The sequence below is a fragment of the Homo sapiens genome, chromosome 3 (assembly GCF_000001405.40).
Source record: "Homo sapiens chromosome 3, GRCh38.p14 Primary Assembly".
Taxonomy (NCBI): domain Eukaryota; kingdom Metazoa; phylum Chordata; class Mammalia; order Primates; family Hominidae; genus Homo; species Homo sapiens.
In genome coordinates, this window is record NC_000003.12 from 195,074,226 (window position 1) to 195,094,536 (window position 20,311).

At 51.8% G+C, this 20,311-nt stretch overlaps 1 protein-coding gene across 5 annotated transcripts in view, besides 6 other annotated features; it reads right to left on the bottom strand.

The window, feature by feature from the left end:
* XXYLT1 (xyloside xylosyltransferase 1) overlaps positions 1–20,311 on the bottom strand; it is a 202,876-nt gene that overhangs the window by 5,942 nt on the left and 176,623 nt on the right. The gene's annotated exons all lie outside the window — the stretch shown is intronic.
* Positions 4,799–5,315: an enhancer, noted in NCBI's record as "H3K4me1 hESC enhancer chr3:194799753-194800269 (GRCh37/hg19 assembly coordinates)". NCBI's record gives its function as "activates a minimal SCP1, AML or CMV promoter by ChIP-STARR-seq in primed H9 embryonic stem cells {active_cell/tissue: H9 hESC(primed)}" and the evidence as "EXISTENCE:reporter gene assay evidence [ECO:0000049][PMID:30033119]".
* Positions 6,120–6,199: an enhancer, noted in NCBI's record as "active region_21037". NCBI's record gives its function as "activates an Ori minimal core promoter by ATAC-STARR-seq in GM12878 lymphoblastoid cells {active_cell/tissue: GM12878}" and the evidence as "EXISTENCE:reporter gene assay evidence [ECO:0000049][PMID:35858748]".
* Positions 8,091–8,260: an enhancer, noted in NCBI's record as "experimental_67503 CRE fragment used in MPRA reporter constructs". NCBI's record gives its function as "activates a minimal promoter by MPRAs in K562 erythroleukemia cells, with activity observed for both the introgressed and non-introgressed 3:194803130 variant alleles {active_cell/tissue: K562}" and the evidence as "EXISTENCE:reporter gene assay evidence [ECO:0000049][PMID:34662402]".
* Positions 19,804–19,873: an enhancer, noted in NCBI's record as "active region_21038". NCBI's record gives its function as "activates an Ori minimal core promoter by ATAC-STARR-seq in GM12878 lymphoblastoid cells {active_cell/tissue: GM12878}" and the evidence as "EXISTENCE:reporter gene assay evidence [ECO:0000049][PMID:35858748]".
* Positions 19,994–20,163: an enhancer, noted in NCBI's record as "active region_21039". NCBI's record gives its function as "activates an Ori minimal core promoter by ATAC-STARR-seq in GM12878 lymphoblastoid cells {active_cell/tissue: GM12878}" and the evidence as "EXISTENCE:reporter gene assay evidence [ECO:0000049][PMID:35858748]".
* Positions 20,234–20,283: an enhancer, noted in NCBI's record as "active region_21040". NCBI's record gives its function as "activates an Ori minimal core promoter by ATAC-STARR-seq in GM12878 lymphoblastoid cells {active_cell/tissue: GM12878}" and the evidence as "EXISTENCE:reporter gene assay evidence [ECO:0000049][PMID:35858748]".

Sequence of the window (20,311 nt, forward strand, 5' to 3'; positions counted from 1 at the left end):
CTGACTCAGGCTAAGTTCAGGCTGTAGACTGTCAGGCAAAGAAGGCTCCATTTGAGGTCTGAGATTCAGCACACGGCCTCGCAAGGCGTACCTCTGGGGCGTCCTTCAGCCTTGAGAGCAGTCACTGAAGGGCCAGCATCTGGGCCTCCTCCCAGAGGAAGCACCCGGCCCAGAGGCTGTGCAGTCAGTGAGGCCTGGAACCCGGAAACGTGATTTCCCTCATACCCATGCATGTGTGCCTGGCCCAATGAGCTCGTTTGGCGTGGAAGGGACCTTGTTTTCCAGTCATCCAAGATGAGAGTCCAGGAGGGAAAAGCAACACTCAGCAGCTGTCCAGCACTTCATCCACACCAGCCAGGTCCTCTGGGGTGATCCAGGGACATTTCAAGTCCACCCAGGCCCAGAGGCTCTCCGGACACCCTGCGCCCTGGCTGGGTGATGTCGGCTAATTTCAGACCCATGACCCTGCATCTTGGTCCTACCTGGAGCTAAGGCTGAAGTTCTGTGGGGCAGTCTCGAGCTCTTCAGTCCTTTAGGGGAACCACTGCCCTGTGGTATCAAACTGGAGAAGACATGGACATCCTGGAGTTGTAGGACCACCACGGAGCTCTAAGTACCCGTGTCCCTAGAGCAGTCCTTACTGCCAGCTCAGAACTGACCCTTATTAGGATCTCTTGATAACAAGACCTAAAGCAGGCTGAGGTCTCCAGCTCTACTGGACAGAGAAGGTAAGAAGTGTTCCCAGGCCGGGAGCGGTGGCTCGCACCTGTAATCCCAGCACTTTGGGAGGCCGAGGTGGGCGGATCACCTGAGGTCAGGAGTTCGAGACCAGCCTGGCCAACATGACAAAACCCCGTCTCTACTAAAAATACAAAACTTAGCCGGGCATGGTGGCGTGCGCCTGTAATCCCAGCTACTCAGGAGGCTGAGGCAGGAGAATCGTTTGAACCCGGGAGGCAGAGGTTGCAGTGAGTTGAGATTGCACCATTGCACTCCAGCCTGGGCAACAAGAGTGAAACTCCGTCTCAAGAAAAAAGAATAAGTGTTCCTAACGTCACACAGGCCATTTGCAGTAGGACTAAGAGATGCTCCTCATAGAGCCACGGTCTACCAGAGCCTGAAGACTGAGGGACTCCTGGTTCATATACCCATTGTGCAGATGAGGAAGCTGAGGCTCAAAAACTGGCCTGTCCAGGGTCACGCTGCTGAAAGGGCAACTCCACATTTCCAGGCAAATAATTTATGCTTTTCCACAAATGCCTCTGCCCAGAAAAGGGAACTGCTGCCTCCCACCTACCCAAAACAAGCCCTGTGGTGAGGCGAGGCAGCACCGCTCAGACAAAGCCAGCCTGCCAGGAGGCGCAGAGGCTGTGCTTTCCCCTCCAGCAGGGCCCACGTCCTCCAAGCTCACCACACTAGCACTTGGAGGAGAGCTGGGTGCCCGAGTGGCTGGCAGGACTTGCCTGGGGAAATAGGAGGGACACTAAGCAGGTGGCAGGCATGTGCTCACCCTCGTCTGTGGGACCTCCTAAGAAACATGTGCTTGTTTTCAAACCCCAGCCCTCTTTGAAGGCCAGCAACTGAGTTGCCAAACCACAACATCCCCAGAACTTGGAAGGGGCAAGCGAGGTCGAGGCGCGGCTGTTGCTTTGCAGGCTGAGTGGGCACTGGGGTTGGCCCTCAGTGCTGCAACCAGGCTGCCTGGCAGGACAGGAGAGGACTGCTGGGGCACCGGGCCCCACAGAGACCCTGTGGGGAGGCACACCGCAGAGGGCTTCCCCTCCAGGCCCTCCCTCCAACATGAGCCACAGCTCCTCCCCTCCAGAAAGAACCAGCACCACGGCCTCCGCCTCCTGGAGCCTCTCCCCGCACGCTGGAGGCTGCCAGGGCCCTGCTTTGCAACTGCTGGCATCTCTGCACCATCTGCACAGCCTGAGAGAACAGAGGTTCAGGGAAGGAAGAGGGCCTGGAGGAAGGTCTGGGGGCTCGGGGAAGTGAGAAAAGAGGTGACATCTGCTGAGCAGATGTGCACAGCTTTAATCAGGACAGTGTTACCACCCACCCCACACCCACCCGTTCCAGAGAGGAAGAAGCCCGCACGGGGTCACGGGGCCGACTGCGGCACAGACATTGGAACTCGACCGCGCGTGTTCCCGGAGTCTGAGTCGTTTTGAATTATGTCACGCAGGGGCCTTCGGTGGGAGGAGGGACAGTCGTGACAGGGCACTGGGGTGGCTACTAGACAAGCCAAGCATTCTGGAGAGTTGCCCCTGTTACAGCCTGCACAGTGGGCCTCATTTTTACCTAAAGACCACTGGGCTCTGTTAGTTCGCTAGGGCTGCCATCGCAAAGTACCACCAATGGGGCGGCTTCAGCAGCAGAAAGGTGCTGCCTCTCCGTTCGGCGGGCTGGAAGTCCAAGATCACAGTGCTGGCAGCTGGCTCTGTCTGGGCTAGGAGGGAGGGTCTGTTCCAGGCGCTCCCCTCGCTCCTGGTGGCTTGCTGGCAGTCTGGGATCCTGGGAGAGGCATCACCCTGCTCTCTGCCTTCATATTCACATGGCGTTCTCCCTGCGTGCACGTGCCTCTGTGTCCACATTGCCCCTTTCTATCAAGACGCCAGCCATAAGGATCCGGGCCTGCCCTACCCCAGCAGAACCTCATCTCAACTCTTTATATCTGCAACAACCCCATTCCCACAAAAGGTGACACTCAGAAGTGCTGGGGGCTAGGATTTCTGCAGAGGAATTCTGAGGGACACACTTCAACCCACAGCACTCTCCAGCAATGAAGATGGAGAAAAACACCACAGCTCACTGGTACCTTGTTCTCACTGTCCAGGGACTCAGAGGACACCTGTGGGGCCCAGAACTGCCCTCAGCAAAACCCCAGCCCCTGCTGCTCTCAGTGGGTGGAGACAGAATGACCCACAGTGGGCGGGGCAGCCTCTGTCCAGGGAAAGGCAGGTGTCAGTGGCTGGGGAAGGGAAAAGCAGAGGGATGGGAGATGATGTAGGGGGCGGCACGGGGACCCCAGCAGAGAGATGTCCAAAAGCTCCCCCTTGCAACATCTCCTGCAATCTCAACCCAGAGGCAGTGCCGCAATAACATGGATGGAATGGGGAAGATGCCCCCACTGGGCTGGTCCGGGACTCTGCGCTGACCCTGCCCAGCAGCGTGCCCTGAGGAGCAGCCCTGCCTGTCCCTGTAGGTGCTCAGCCTCTGCAGAGCTGATGCTGCAAATGCTCCTCCCTGCCCAGGCTTAGGTTGTGGCGGCTCCTCAGCGATCAGCCCTCGTCCACCCAGCCAGCCTCCTGGAGTCTGGAATGATAAAGGTGACCCATAGTGTCAGTCTCGTTCCCAAAGCTGTACCAGCTATGACCAGCCCATCTCTGTGGGGCCCTGTAAAGCGCGGCCTGGGGCTGGACGTCGTAGGGGGTGAATGGCCCTGATGGCAAGGCCTCTGACCTGGTGCAGGGCAGCCCTTCAGCCCCCTGCAGGCGTCCGTTTCTCCAGAGCCCTGCAGAAGGGCAGCTGGCAGGCCTGAGGCCTCCACATGGCACGGCACCACCAGGACCCCAAGGTTGCTGCCCCGTATCCTCAGGATGTGCCATGCCCTTCTCGAAGGCTTCTCCTGGCCCTCCGCTCCCCGTGCCCAGCCTGCCTGGGGTTGTCAGTCACGTGACCTTCCCCCAGCATCTGCAGCCCTGGAGCTGTAAAAACAGATGGGCAGGGACTGGGGAACTCACCCTCACTCAGTCACATGCAGCCCCGGAGCCTCGGCCCTGGGAGGGGCAAGGGACAGAGATGAGGGGGAAGAGGCAGTGGAGGGGCTTTAAGCCTGGATCCCTACTCAGACGGCGGAGCCAGAAACAGCCATGGCGGAGCTGGGAGGAGTGGGTGTGGGGCGGAGGAAAAGGGAATTCCATGTTGAGTCCCAAACAGGTGCCCAGAGAACAGCAATGTGGAGGAGCCCAGCAGGTGGCTGGAGGTACCGGCCATAAGCAGAGAGCACCAAGCAGGTGGTACGGAATTCTGGAGAGTTCTGACATTTAGGGCGTGGAAGAAGAGGAGCCAGGAAGATGCAGGGCGTTGGAGGACCCCGGCCACCTGTCCCTCACACTGACAGCCGAGAGGCCCGTAGCGAGTCAGGCCATGGGGGCCTTTTCTGCTGTGGGAGCTCCTGCAGAGCCACTGAGCTACACGGGCCTTCCAGCTAGTTCTGCAGGCCCACTGTGCCTCCTCCAGCCTCTCGTGCCCTGGCCCTCTGGGCACGAGATGTGTCCCACCAAGTTCCCTCCAGCCTACCTCCCCCTCTTCCTCATCCCCATCCAAGCTGGGCCTTCTCCCCAGTGATGCCCTCCAAGCCTCCTACTAATATCGACTGCCCGTTCTCTGCCTCTCACTCAAACACTTGGATCTGGACAGAATGACACCCAGACAGTACCTCAGTACCCCTCCACGAAGTAGAGATGCATCCTGCTGCCACTCTCCCCAGTCCCCAGGGCTGCACACAGCCCCCCACACTTCCAGAGCTGTCCTCCCCACCTCCCATCGCACCATCCGGCTGGCAGCTCCTTGCTCGCCGCCTGGGATCCCCTTCCTCTCTGCTCCATCCCTAGGGACACCCTCAAGAATTCCAAATGCTGATGGCCCTTCCCTTCACCTTGACCACAGTGTCCTCAAACCACACCTAAGCTACCCACTCGGCTCTCCATGAACTTTGCGACCAGACGCACTCTGCTCCAGTGATGGGAACTGAGATCCCTCTCTGGCGGCAACGTCCTGACCCACCCTGCACAGAACCTGCTCATCAGACCCTTGGAAGCTCTGACCCCTGCCCCCAGATGGTCAGCCTCAATTTGCATCTCCCGGCCCCTTACCCAGTGTCATCTGCCCCCAGTACATCACTGCATGTGAGAATACAGCAGTGTGGAAAGCTGTAGAGGGCAAGGACTTGGAAGTGCCGCAAGAGGTGACAGTGACCTTGGAGAAGGAGAGGGATGGAGACGGGGAAGCCACACCCTTGGCCCTGGGGAGCGTATGAACAGCAGAGAACAGACGCCAGGGAGCCAGATGGCACCTAGAGGCAAACAGAGGACAGAGGGGAGGATATTTTCCAAAGAGGGAGAGCTGAGTATTCTGTACGCCAAGGGAAAGGGATGCATACATGAGAGAAAGACAGACTGAAGAAATACAGGGAAAACGGCAGGGTGGCTTCTTTGAGGAATGAGAATAACGATAATGGCTAATATTTAGTGAGGACTTACTATGTGCCAGGCCCTGTTGTAAGTTCTTAAATGTATTCAGTATAATGTTTGTAATAAGCAAACAAGGTAGGTACTATGATTTCCATGTTCTAGATGAGGAAGCTGAGGCAGAGAGCTCTAAAACGCTTGCCCGAGGTCAGCAAGGGGAGAATTGCCAGGCAGAAGAGCTGTCCGGGAAGAGGGAACCCTGGGATGTGGCTGGGAGCAGAGAGGGACAGAAGCGAGGACAGCAGCAGTTCTGAGAGGTCAGGAAAGGAAGACATGAAGTCATCTAAGGAGGAGGAGGGGCTGGGTGTGAGAAGGGTTTGAGAAAGAGAGAATCTGTTTACAAGGGGCTCTGTGTAATACAATCGGGAATGAATAACAGGCAAATAAAGGGTGAGGGTGTGGGCAGAGTCAGGTGACTCTGGGACTGATAAGGGGAAGTGTCCCGCTCATCTTCATGTCTGGAGGGCCTGGCGTGGGCATCTGATTCACAGAAGGGCCCCCAGAACTGTTAGTTTCAAATGGATGGATTAATGAAGGAAGGCATAAGAGATTCTAAAGCTAGATGGCAGGAATTTAGGAGAATGTTGGATGAAGGCAGTGGCACAACCGTTCAGAAAGGCAGGGGCGGGAGGAGAACGTGCCTCGGGCCCAGTCACTAGAGGGAAGTGAAGACAGAGAAGGTGAGGCAGAAAAGTTGGCTCCCCAAGCCCAGGAATCCACATCTGTGACGAAGTGCTCAGTGTGACAAAGACTAGGAAGGAAGGGGCCCAGATGGTGACCTGACCTGGGGATGCCCACAGCCCTCTGGACAACACCCTTCCTAGCGCTGGCCCTGGAAGGCACCCAGCCTCCAGTACTGGGGCTTGTAGAGGGAGCAGCTGTTCAAGCCCCAGTACTTGTCACAGGGAGCAGTTCAATTCTAGTGGGAGCCCCAGGACCCAACCAGGAAACCACAGAGCCGGCAGCCAAAGCTGGTGAGGACCCACATGCACCTGGCCCAGCTGGGCAGCCAGGCCCCAGCTCAGCTCCACAACCCTCCTCTTTCCCTGAATTTAAGGGAGCGGGGGTGGGGGGGATGGGGGAGGGTTTGTCAGAGTGAAGACAAAACCACAGAGGGTCACCTTCAGAATCGGCTCACTGTCCCCGACAGCCTCATGGCGCTGGAGGTCACAGGAGAGAGTGCCAGGACACATGGTGGGGTGTTTTCCGGGACAGCGAGCAGAGTGCAGCCAGGTGTGGGAAAGGCGGCAGGGAGGGTATGTGTGGAATTTAACCTTGTGTCCCCAGTTAGACTCCATCAATCCGCACCAGCGCCCTTCACCCTCATGGGAGGGGGTGTTCCAACCCAGGAGCCAGAGGTGGCAGAGACTCCGTGGACGTGGCTCACCCAGGCACGAAGGTGCTGGGCAGTATGACCCCCGGCTGCAAACTGTGTTACTTCTCAAGATCAGAAAAAGTGGAGCGCCCTCCCATTCCATGTAAGGGCCCCCACCTTTGGCTGTCCCTGATCGCTGTCCTACACAATGTGGCATGGATCTTGGCCAAGGCAAAAATAGTAATTGGCACGGTGACAGTGTGATGGGCCAGGCCCAGGCCCCGCCTGCAGGAGCCTGTCATGCTGAGGTGGGCAGCCCTTCTCAGATGTCACTGTGCCTGGGCTCACCTGGGAGCTCGTCAGCCACTGCATTTCTGACAAGCCCCCAGGGATCGCTAACGCTGCTGGTCCAAGAATCACACTAAAAAAAAAAAAGCGTTTTTATGATTTTTATAAAGAGATGAAAGCCACTGAGTTATTTTATCCTGAAAATGGCCATACAACAGGTGGCATAGCAATTTGCAAAGTATACACAGGTTCTATGCTAATACTTGTCCCGTCTTCTCCCTCTGTCACAGCGCTGAGCAGGGCCCGGGGACAGGCTTCCTGGAAGCAGCACAATAATGCTTACAGGTGCCAGGAGGGAGGCCCAGCTCCGCCACCTTCCATCGGTCTAGGGTGGAGGGAAGGCCAGGAGGCAGCAATATATCAGATTTCCACTGCCTTGAAAAAAAATGTACAGTGCACATACAGGTTAAGAATATAGGTTCTGGGGGCAGACAGTCCCAGTCCGGAGCTTAAATCCTGGTTCTCTGCATCTACACTGGAGAAGGCACTCAAACTCTCTGTGCTGCAGGCTTCCAAATATAAACAGGGCTGCCGAGAAAATGTTATGAGGTAATGCAAGTAAAATACTCAATACATTCAGATGAGATAAGGAAAGCCACAATGTCAAGTTCAGCGAGCAGCAGTGCAGATTCTCAATGCCAAACACACCAGCCTCCCCTGTGGTCTGCAGCAGCCAGTGGGCCCTGCAACTGGTCTACCTGGCTCTGCACCCACCACCAGGGTGGGCCTGGGCAAATCACTTCCCCTGCTGGGCGCTCGGTTCCTAAACCTATTAAATGGACGAATCGGCCAGAGGATTCTTGTCAGTCCTGAAAGCCTGCAGTTCTAGGCCAGGACTAGAAGCTTCCGGGGGGCGATCACTGAACTCCAACGATTGATGATGTCTCTTTAACTGCATTCCAAGTGCGTGATTACAACATGGATTTGCTGTTGTTGTTACTTGCTTTTGTTTCAAAAACTCACTTCTATGTATTGACAAAGCCTCACGATGGATCCAGTGTGGGGCATCTGGGTGGTTTCCAATTATGGGACCTCAGCAGTGTGCTGTGTGTGTCAAGGGTGGCGGGCGCGTAAGGCAACCACTATGCTTATTTGCTTTTGCAGAGTCCTTAGGTTTGTCCTATTTGGGTGTATGCAGATTCAGTTTTCAGGAAATAGGGGTGATGAGTCTCAGGCGTTTGCCTCCCCGTCAGCCCCCCTCCCTGGTGGTCTTCCTGGAGGGCTGCTGACACCTGCCCATCTTCTCTCTCCCTCTGGTGCTACTGTCTGAGCAGCTGTGCAGGAGCAGGAAGGAGGAATAGGCAGGGCCAGAAAAGTTCCCTGTGTCCCTGGGACTTCCTTCCCTCAGGCATTTCGGCATAAACACACGGAACCTCGTGGGAGTACAGCAGGAAGAAAAAGTGAGGAACCCTGAAGAAGGATCTCTCGGCTGGGCACGGTGGCTCACGCCTGTAATCCCAGCACTTTGGGAGGCTGAGGCGGGTGGATCCCTTGAGGTCAGGAGTTTGAAGCCATCCTGGCTAGCATGGCGAAACTCCAACTCAACTCCACAAAAATTAGCCGGGTGTGGTGGCGCGTGCCTATAATCCCAGCTACTCGGGAGGCTGAGGCATGACAATCACTTGAACCCCGGGGGAAGGAGGTTGCAGTGAGCCGAGATCACTGGGTAACAGAGTGAAACTCCATCTCAAAAAAAAAAAGAAGGACCTCTCCCAAACTTGCCCTCAGCCATAAGGCACCCCCCCTGCCAAGAGCCAACAGTGAGGTGCCAGGTCACATGTGGCACAGACATGGCCCCAGCCAGGAAGCCCTGCTCACCCCGTGAGATAAAGTTGCAAACTTAAGAAGCCATGTCTGCACATTTCTGCTGGCCAGCCGAATTCCACAAAGCCCCTGACTCTGTGACAACGCTCAACCCTCCGGAGGATGAAGTGAAGACAAAACAGGATAGAGCGCCCGGCCCCCAGCGTCTCTTCCTGAGTCACTATATTCCTTAAAAGATCCATGACCCTAGTGCTTGCCTTTTCCTACGCATAAGATCGCATCTGAAGGGGTCAGTGATGTCGCTTCTGGAGTCTCTAACCAGATGCACCCTTGCACGTAAGCCTTGATAACCCCCTGCGTATACCGAGCCTGTCTACCTGTGTGTAAACTGTGAGCTGAAACAGTCTTGGGGCAGCCTGACAGAACCTCTCGAAAGACTCCTCCCAGGCTGGAGTCCTCAGGAAACTTCTGAATAAAACGAACTTAATTCTTTAAAAGCTTGACTTTTTCCTTTGGTCAACACCCTCCCTGCTGAGATGATCCCTGGGGCCTCTCCTCAGGCTTTCCTGACACCAGAGGTCCTTCTCCTCATCTCCTCCTCAGAAGTCAGGGTCATCCCTACATCCAGGCTGGCAATAAATATTTGTTCAAGCCTATTATGGACAAGCACCATGCCCAGAAAAATGACGAGGAGGAGGAGAAGAACACCTCTCCCCATTCACAGGAATCATTACCCAGCTATATGTACATTATCTCAATTCCTCACAACTACCTACGGTCAGTATTATTTCCATTTTACGGACGAGGAAATGGAGGCCCAGAGAGTTACTGCGCCTGGCGGTGCACAGTGGCTCATGCCGCTAATCCCAGCACTTTGGGAGGCCGAGGAAAGCAGATCACTTGCAGTCAGGAGTTTGAGACCAGCCCGGCCAACACAGCAAAACTCCATCTCTACTAAAAATACAAAAATCATCCAGGCGCGGTGGCAGGCACCCGTAGTCCCAGCTCCTCAAGGTGCTGAGGCAGGAGCATGGTTTGAACCCAGGAGGCAGAGGTTGCAGCGAGCCGAGATTGCACCACGGCACTCCAGCCTGGGTGACAGTGAGTGAAAATCGGTCTCAAAAAAAAAAAAGTGATGTGCTGATGGTCACACATTCTGCCTTTTGCTGCATTAACTCAGAAAGAGCTCATCTCCTGTGCTTTCACCAAGTTCAGAGCTGGAGTGAGAAATAACATCACAGAAAGGATTCCTAGCGGGCTTTGGTTCTCTGGGAAGGTCCGGCTGGTAAGGCAGAAAAGCAGAAAAGCAGAAAACAGGCTATGAGGTCTGAATTGCATCAGGCCAGTTCCAACCACAGAGCAGGCTGTGGGTGAGGATGGGAAGATGGCAGGGATCAGCTAGGCTGCTCCCTGCCCCAGGGATACTTAGAGGCAGGAGGCCCGATTCAAGTCAGGGCCCTGGCCCTAGACCCAAAATCTTCTCGCTGAAAAAAACCTATAGAGATCACCCAGGAAAATGGAGCATGGAAGCCACCTGGGCAAGGCTGCCCAGCTAGGACATAAAGTCCACCCTCGCTAGGGCACCACAAGACTGCCTGCAGCCTTTCCCACCAGCGAGATGGCAGCCTCAGTGTAATGTATTTCATGCAACCCAGATTTTGAGCAAAGTAAACCGTACTCTTTTCAGAGGTCCAATTCTTTCCCTAAAATACTTAGGTCAGCCCTTGCAGCCTGCTGTTCTTCACTTGCTGTATTTTAGTGAGTTAAACCACCCAAGGATGTTCTAGGCAAAACTCCCACCACTACACACGATCACAGGACTCCATCGGCCCCAGAAACCCAACCCCAGGGATTCATTCATTCAATTAGGCTTCAGGGTCCAGGATGTGAAGAGCACAGTGAATCACACAGACACCCTCATCCTGGAGAGCCCACTCTGATGGCAGGACCATTCTCCATGCTGGGGACAGTACACCTTGGCTCTTGGCAGGGGAGCTTCTCTAATGGTGCCCAAGACAGCAGCTCCTGCCAGTTGCAGAAGCTGAGGGTAGGAAAGGGAGGCCTAGCAAGGCAGCCACTTCCAGACCCTCGAAATGCCAAAAACCTCCAGAGTGTGTGGTTCATCTGAGCAGCCGCAGAGTCTTCACGTGGACGTAACCTTCTCCCAAGCAAGGATGACCCCCATGGGAGTTACAGTGCTCTAAATCCTCTCCTTGCACGAGGTCAAGTAGGAAAAGAAATGATTGCCATATGAAAGTTCAAGTTGGGGACAAAAGGGGCTGAGTGAGGTCCCTGGAGAACAGTTCAGAGGAGCACGGGCTTTGGAGAGAGAATATCTGGATTTGCCCTTTGGCTCAACACCCCTTCCGACCTCTCCAAACCTCTTGGGAATGGTGACTCAGTACCAGTGTCACAGTCCTGGTCCCCACCCCTGGCCCTGCCGCTCCGGCTCCAAGCTGGTTCAGAAAATACGCAACTCACCCAAGGTGTCCAGGTCTGGCATCTCTGCCACTCTCCCATCCCTGGTTCCCTAGAATGGAGCCTCCATCCCCATGTCTAAGCATGCCAGCGCATTTCACCAGAGACCGCGGTGGGAGGGGGGAGTCCACCCAGTTCTACTCGAGAAGCACAGCAGTGCGGTCAGAGAGAAAGGAGCAGGAGCTTAGCTCCTGTGCTCCCTCACAGCTCCAAGAGCCCAGTCATCCTGCGGGCCGCGGTGGGCAGCCGCGAGCCACAACCGTGTCTGGTGACAATCCTAGTAGAGTTCCAGACTGATGCGGCGAGACCACTCCATTCCACCAGGGGCTGGCCCAGAGTTTGGTTCAAAACCGTCAGGTCGCCACTAGCCTCACTGTCCTTCGACTGTGGTGACAGAGCCACTGCTCTGAGCACTCACCTCATACCCAACACAGGAAAGAGGTGCCTCAAAAGCTTGCTGGGCTAGCCTCCTCCCCCACCCCGAGGCTAGCCCCTGAGGCAGCTGCCCCCACTCACCTCTGTCCTCTGTGCTGTCAGGCCTTGCGGAGGCCAACACTCACTATGACTCGGTGGTGCCCGAGCTGCAGAAGACCCAAACTTGACTTTTCAAGCTTCTCTTTCAAGGACTGCCTGGGGCCTGTGGACAGGGGCAGCTGCATTAAAGGCCATTTGTACACACAGAGCACACCTGGGCAAAACAGACCTGGTTTCCAGCACCCCCAAACACCCAGCTTGCCCCCAGCCTGCCCCACAGCTGGCCGCGCTGTGTGCCTCGAAGCCTTACAGCTCAGCACTCTACAGCACTGTCCTTGCTTTTAAATTTTTCTTTTTTTTTAAGGGAAGAAAATCCACAAAACAATCTGTCCTTCTGACAGGCCAGCTCAGATTCCTATCGTGCTAGGTTGGATCAAGGAGCATCATTACGACGGCTTTATCAGAACTGTCTGCTTCAGAAAATAAACAACTTATCAAAGGTAGCCAGGTCTGGCGTCTCGGCCGCTCCCCTACCCCTGCTTCCCTGGAACAGAGGCTGTTTCCCTGTCTCCATGCATGTGAATGCATTTCAGCAGAGACCACAGACCTGTAGGGGAGAAGTCTATCCAGTTGTATTCAACAAACACAGTGGTTAGGGGCAGGGGCTGTGGGGTCAGAGGCCTGACTATGAGCCAGGGCCAGTTTAGGATGGGCCCTGTGAGGAAGGTCAGGGAAGCTGACCTTGCTGCTAAAGGGAACAAAAGGTTTGAAGCGAGGTATGAGGAAGGTCACTCTGGCTGGGTGGGCACTGGCATGGAGGAGGAAGGGCTGGAAGCAGCAAGACCAGGCAGGAGGATGCTTTGGTGATGGGGGGGAGGGTGGCAGTGCCAAGGATGGAGACAAGCAAAGGGTTTAGGAGATACTTAGCAGGTGTATGACTAGCTCTAAGAACGGATGCATGTAGGTGATGAAGGGGGACAAAGAGCTCCGGGTCCTGGCTTCTGTCTTGAGCATTCTGGCTATGGGGTCAGTGGCAGTGGCTGTTCTAATCATGATCAGTGACTTGCATGATGACACTGGCCAGGCCCCTCCCCGATACCTCCCACCTGTACCACAAGGAGGGAGAGTGGCCTCCTAGGCCTTCCCAGCTCCAGGTCGCCTTGGTGGCAGCACTGTGGTCACCTCCTCCTGCCTCGGTGCAGCTTCTCTAAACTCAGGGCAGGCTGCGGGGAGCAGTAAGGGGGCTGGGAGGCACTGCCCGTGTGGCCCGTTGACACGCCACCGTCTCTCCAGGTGGCCTGCAGCAAACCCGCCTTTCCTGCTCCTCTGGACACAGCCGGCCTTGCCCTTGCCAGGCTGCGTGTGGCCCTGGAGCTCCTCTTCCGCCCTCTTCCCGTTTGTACCCACTCTCCAGGGAGACATTTTTCCCCTTTAAACTGGAAATGTGCTCCCTGGCTCCTCCTCAGATCCCTTGTGCTTGAGTTGCTTCTCCAGGCCTTCCAGATAAATCTCTTGAAAATCTGCTGTGCTTGGGGTGCTCCCTGTGAAAGCAGAAAAGCATCTGAGCTACCCTCCCTGTCTCTCCCCACTGCGCGCTCTATTCAGGTATCAACACAGGTATGCCTGGAGCTGGTAGAGCACAGAGACAAGGCAGTCAGGCTCCCTGCACGCAGGGCCTGCAACTTCTCAGCTCTCTCCGGATAGGGCACTGGGGCCTGGGCTTACCCAGAACAGCCAACTGGAATTTGAATGAACATAAAGAGTGGAATTTTTAACAGCCAGATCAAAGCGGGCATTAAAATTAGATGCTACTGGAGGAGCCAAGATGGCCGAATAGGAACAGCTCTGGTGTACAGCTCCCAGCGTGAGCGACGCAGAAGACGGTGATTTCTGCATTTCCATCTGAGGTACCGGGTTCATCTCACTAGGGAGTGCCAGACAGTGGGCGCAGGTCAGTGGGTGCGCGCACCGTGCGCGAGCCGAAGCAGGGCGAGGCAAAGCCTCACTTGGGAAGCGCAAGGGGTCAGGGAGTTCCCTTTCAAAGGGAGTCAAAGAAAGGGGTGACAGACGCACCTGGAAAATCGGGTCACTCCCACCTGAATACTGCGCTTTTCCAACGGGCTTAAAAAACGGCGCACCACGAGATTACATCCCGCACCTGGCTCGGAGGGTCCTACCCCACGGAGTCTCGCTGATTGCCAGCACAGCGGTCTGAGATCAAACTGCAAGGTGGCAGCGAGGCTGGGGGAGGGGCGCCCGCCATTGCCCAGGCTTGATTAGGTAAACAAAGCAGCCGGGAAGCTCGAACTGGGTGGAGCCCACCACAGCTCAAGGAGGCCTGCCTGCCTCTGTAGGCTCCACCTCTGGGGGCAGGGCACAGACAAACAAAAAGACAGCAGTAACCTCTGCAGACTTAAAGGTCCCTGTCTGACAGCTTTGAAGAGAGCAGTGGTTCTCCCAGCACGCAGCTGGAGATCTGAGAACGGGCAGACTGCCTCCTCAAGTGGGTCCCTGACCCCTGACCCCCGAGCAGCCTAACTGGGAGGCACCCCCCAGCGGGGCACCTCACAGGGCCGGGTACTCCAACAGACCTGCAGCTGAGGGTCCTGTCTGTTAGAAGGAAAACTAACAAACAGAAAGGACATCCACACCAAAAACCCATCTGTACATCACCATCATCAAAGACCAAAAGTAGATAAAACCACAAAGATGGGGAAAAAACAGAACAGAAAAACTGGAAACTCTAAAAAGCAGAGCACCTCTCCTCCTCCAAAGGAACGCAGTTCCTCACCAGCAACAGAACAAAGCTGGATGGAGAATGACTTTGACGAGCTGAGAGAAGAAGGCTTCAGACGATCAAATTACTCTGAGCTACGGGAGGACATTCAAACCAAAGGCAAAGAAGTTGAAAACTTTGAAAAAAATTTAGAAGAATATATAACTAGAATAACCAATACAGAGAAGTGCTTAAAGGAGCTGATGGAGCTGAAAACCAAGGCTCGAGAACTACGTGAAGAATGCAGAAGCCTCAGGAGCCGATGCAATCAACTGGAAGAAAGGGTATCAGCAATGGAAGATGAAATGAATGAAATGAAGCAAGAAGGGAAGTTTAGAGAAAAAACAATAAAAAGAAATGAGCAAAGCCTCCAGGAAATATGGGACTATGTGAAAAGACCAAATCTACGTCTGATTGGTGTACCTGAAAGTGATGGGGAGAATGGAACCAAGTTGGAAAACACTCTGCAGGATATTATCCAGGAGAACTTCCCCAATCTAGCAAGGCAGGCCAACGTTCAGATTCAGGAAATACAGAGAACGCCACAAAGATACTCCTCGAGAAGAGCAACTCCAAGACACATAATTGTCAGATTTACCAAAGTTGAAATGAAGGAAAAAATGTTAAGGGCAGCCAGAGAGAAAGGTCGGGTTACCCACAAAGGGAAGCCCATCAGACTAACAGTGGATCTCTCGGCAGAAACCCTACAAGCCAGAAGAGAGTGGGGGCCAATATTCAACATTCTTAAAGAAAAGGATTTTCAACGCAGAATTTCATATCCAGCCAAACTAAGCTTCATAAGTGAAGGAGAAATAAAATACTTTACAGACAAACAAATGCTGAGAGATTTTGTCACCACCAGGCCTGCCCTAAAAGAGCTCCTGAAGGAAGCGCTAAACATGGAAGGGAACAACCGGTACCAGCCGCTGCAAAATCATGCCAAAATGTAAAGACCATCGAGACTAGGAAGAAACTGCATCAACTAACGAGCACAATAACCAGCTAGCATCATAATGACAGGATCAAATTCACACATAACAATATTAACTTTAAATGTAAATGGACTAAATGCTCCAATTAAAAGACACAGACTGGCAAATTGGATAAAGAGTCAAGACCCATCAGTGTGCTGTATTCAGGAAACCCATCTCACATGCAGAGACACACATAGGCTCAAAATAAAAGGATGGAGGAAGATCTACCAAGCCAATGGAAAACAAAAAAAGGCAGGGGTTGCAATCCTAGTCTCTGATGAAACAGACTTTAAAGCAACAAAGATAAAAAGAGACAAAGAAGGCCATTACATAATGGTAAAGGGATCAATTCAACAAGAAGAGCTAACTATCCTAAATATATATGCACCCAATACAGGAGCACCAAGATTCATAAAGCAAGTCCTGAGTGACCTACAAAGAGACTTAGACTCCCACACATTAATAATGGGAGACTTTAACACCCCACTGTCAACATTAGACAGATCAAGGAGACAGAAAGTCAACAAGGATACCCAGGAATTGAACTCAGCTCTGCACCAAGCGGACCTAATAGACATCTACAGAACTCTCCACCCCAAATCAACAGAATATACATTTTTTTCAGCACCACACCACACCTACTCCAAAATTGACCACATACTTGGAAGTAAAGCTCTCCTCAGCAAATGTAAAAGAACAGAAATTATAACAAACTATCTCTCAGACCACAGTGCAATCAAACTAGAACTCAGGATTAAGAATCTCACTCAAAACCACTCAACTACACGGAAACTGAACAACCTGCTCCTGAATGACTACTGGGTACATAACGAAATGAAGGCAGAAATAAAGATGTTCTTTGAAACCAACAAGAACAAAGACACAACATACCAGAATCTCTGGGACGCATTCAAAGCAGTGTGTAGAGGGACATTTATAGCACTAAATGCCACAAGAGAAAGCAGGAAAGATCCAAAATTGACACCCTAACATCACAATTAAAAGAACTAGAAAAGCAAGAGCAAACACATTCAAAAGCTAGCAGAAGGCAAGAAATAACTAAAATCAGAGCAGAACTGAAGGAAATAGAGACACAAAAAACCCTTCAAAAAATTAATGAATCCAGGAGCTGGTTTTTTGAAAGGATCAACAAAATTGATAGACCACTAGCAAGACTAATAAAGAAAAAAAGAGAGAAGAATCAAATAGACGCAATAAAAAATGATAAAGGGGATATCACCACCGATCTCACAGAAATACAAACTACCATCAGAGAATACTACAAACACCTCTACACAAATAAACTAGAAAACCTAGAAGAAATGGATAAATTCCTCGACGTATACACTCTCCCAAGACTAAACCAGGAAGAAGTTGAATCTCTGAATAGACCAATAACAGGAGCTGAAATTGTGGCAATAATCAATAGCTTACCAATCAAAAAGAGTCCAGCACCAGATGGATTCACAGCCGAATTCTACCAGAGGTACAAGGAGGAACTGGTACCATTCCTTCTGAAACTATTTCAATCAATAGAAAAAGAGGGAATCCTCCCTAACTCATTTTATGAGGCCAGCATCATTCTGATACCAAAGCCAGGCAGAGACACAACAAAAAAAGAGAATTTTAGACCAATATCCTTGATGAACATTGATGCAAAAATCCTCAATAAAATACTGGCAAAACGAATCCAGCAGCACATCAAAAAGCTTATTCACCATGATCAAGTGGGCTTCATCCCTGGGATGCAAGGCTGGTTCAATATACGCAAATCAATAAATGTAATCCAGCAGGTAAACAGAGCCAAAGACAAAAACCACATGATTATCTCAATAGATGCAGAAAAAGCCTTTGACAAAATTCAACAACCCTTCATGCTAAAAACTCTCAATAAATTAGGTATTGATGGGATGTATTTCAAAATAATAAGAGCTATCTATGACAAACCCACAGCCAATATCATACTGAATGGGCAAAAACTGGAAGCATTCCCTTTGAAAACTGGCACAAGACAGGGATGCCCTCTCTCACCACTCCTATTCAACATAGTGTTGGAAGTTCTGGCCAGGGCAATTAGGCAGGAGAAGGAAATAAAGGGTATTCAATTAGGAAAAGAGGAAGTCAAATTGTCCCTGTTTGCAGACGACATGATTGTATATCTAGAAAACCCCATTGTCTCAGCCCAAAATCTCCTTAAGCTGATAAGCAACTTCAGCAAAGTCTCAGGATACAAAATCAATGTACAAAAATCACAAGCATTCTTATACACCAACAACAGACAAACAGAGAGCCAAATCATGAGTGAACTCCCATTCACAATTGCTTCAAAGAGAATAAAATACCTAGGAATCCAACTTACAAGGGATGTGAAGGACCTCTTCAAGGAGAACTACAAACCTCTGCTCAAGGAAATAAAAGAGGATACAAACAAATGGAAGAACATGCCATGCTCATGGGTAGGAAGAATCAATATCGTGAAAATGGCCATACTGCCCAAGGTAATTTACAGATTCAATGCCATCCCCATCAAGCTACCAATGACTTTCTTCACAGAATTGGAAAAAACTACTTTAAAGTTCATCTGGAACCAAAAAAGAGCCCGCATCGCCAAGTCAATCCTAAGCCAAAAGAACAAAGCTGGAGGCATCACACTACCTGACTTCAAACTATATTACAAGGCTACAGTAACCAAAACAGCATGGTACTGGTACCAAAACAGAGATATAGGCCAACGGAACAGAACAGAGCCCTCAGAAATAACGCCGCATGTCTACAACTATCTGATCTTTGACAAACCTGACAAAAACAAGTAATGGGGAACGGATTCCCTATTTAATAAATGGTGCTGGGAAAACTGGCTAGCCATATGTAGAAAGCTGAAACTGGATCCCTTCCTTACACCTTATACAAAAATCAATTCAAGATGGATTAAAGACTTAAACGTTAGACCTAAAACCATAAAAACCCTAGAAGAAAACCTAGGCATTACCATTCAGGACATAGGCATGGGCAAGGACTTCATGTCTAAAACACCAAAAGCAATGGCAACAAAAGACAAAATTGACAAATGGGATCTAATTAAACTAAAGAGCTTCTGCACAGCAAAAGAAACTACCATCAGAGTGAACAGGCAACCTACAGAATGGGAGAAAATTTTCGCAACCAACTCATCCGACAGAGGGCTAATATCCAGAATCTACAATGAACTCAAACAAATTTACAAGAAAAAAACAAACAACCCCATCAAAAAGTGGGCGAAGGACATGAACAGATACTTCTCAAAAGAAGACATTTATGCAGCCAAAAACCACATGAAAAAATGCTCATCATCACTGGCCATCAGAGAAATGCAAATCAAAACCACAGTGAGATACCATCTCACACCAGTTAGAATGGCAATCATTAAAAAGTCAGGAAACAACAGGTGCTGGAGAGGATGTGGAGAAATAGGAACACTTTTACACTGTTGGTGGGACTGTAAACTAGTTCAACCATTGTGGAAGTCAGTGTGGCGATTCCTCAGGGATCTAGAACTGGAAATACCATTTGACCCAGCCATCCCATTACTGGGTATATACCCAAAGGACTATAAATCATGCTGCTATAAAGACACATGCACACGTATGTTTATTGTGGCATTATTCACAATAGCAAAGACTTGGAACCAACCCAAATGTCCAACAATGATAGACTGGATTAAGAAAATGTGGCACATATACACCATGGAATACTATGCAGCCATAAAAAATGATGAGTTACTGTCCTTTGTAGGGACATGGATGAAATTGGAAATCATCATTCTCAGTAAACTATCGCAAGTACAAAAAACCAAACACCGCATATTCTCACTCATAGGTGGGAATTGAACAGTGAGATCACATGGACACAGGAAGGGGAATATCACACTCTGGGGACTGTTGTGGGGTGGTGGGAGGGGGGAGGGATAGCATTGGGGGATATACCTAATGCTAGATGACGAGTTAGTGGGTGCAGCGCACCAGCATGGCACATGTATACATATGTAACTAACCTGCACAATGTGCACATGTACCCTAGAACTTAAAGTATAATAAAAAAATAAAAATAAATAAATAAATAAATAAATAAAATTAGATGCTACTTCAAGCCATTACCTGGGGAAAGTAATTAGACTCCTCCGAAAATAACAGCAGTTCTGCTGCCACTCCTGGAGCCTTTCTTCTGGAATTATCTGGCCGTCCTCCCGCTGCCCTTCTCCCCACAGCTGTTCAGGGTGCAGAACTGCCCACTGGGGAAAAGGTGCCCTGACTCCAAGCGCATCCAAACTAATTAGGAGCCTATCCTCCCCCAGCCCACGTCCGTGGAGGCGCCATACCCCCAAGGCCTGGTGCAGTCAAGGGGAGAGTGTCAGCTGCTCCCCTCGGGGACAGTGGCAGCTCCTCCTCCTCCTCCTCCTCTTCCTCCTCCCTGTGTGGAATTTCGTGGGCTGGCTTGCTGGGGAGGCCATGAAACATGAAATTCACAGCACTGGCCTCTCCTGTTCCTAGGTCTCAGACTGAGGGAAAAGCATAAAGAAACGCTGGCTGTGGACGCACCTTGGAAGGAGGCAAAGGAGAAAAGAAAGCAAGCACCCGACACAGCCCAGCGAGGCCCCAAGGAGGCCCCACGCCCCACTGCCTGTCTGCACTCTGCTGAAACCCACATCCACGCCCCCAGGCCAGCTGGCATCTTCCACGCTTCCCTGCTCTCTTGGGGCCTCCTCCCTCACGCCCTCAGTGTCACCTCGCCCTTTGCCCAAGACCAACAGACACCTGCCCACACGCATGCAGGCCCAGAGTGGCCCGACCAGGCTTCCTCGCCCCTTGTTCTGTCCAGACACAAAGCTGACATGGGAGTCCGGTCGGCAGACTCATCCCCACACCCTGTACAAAGCTGGACACCCGCGGAG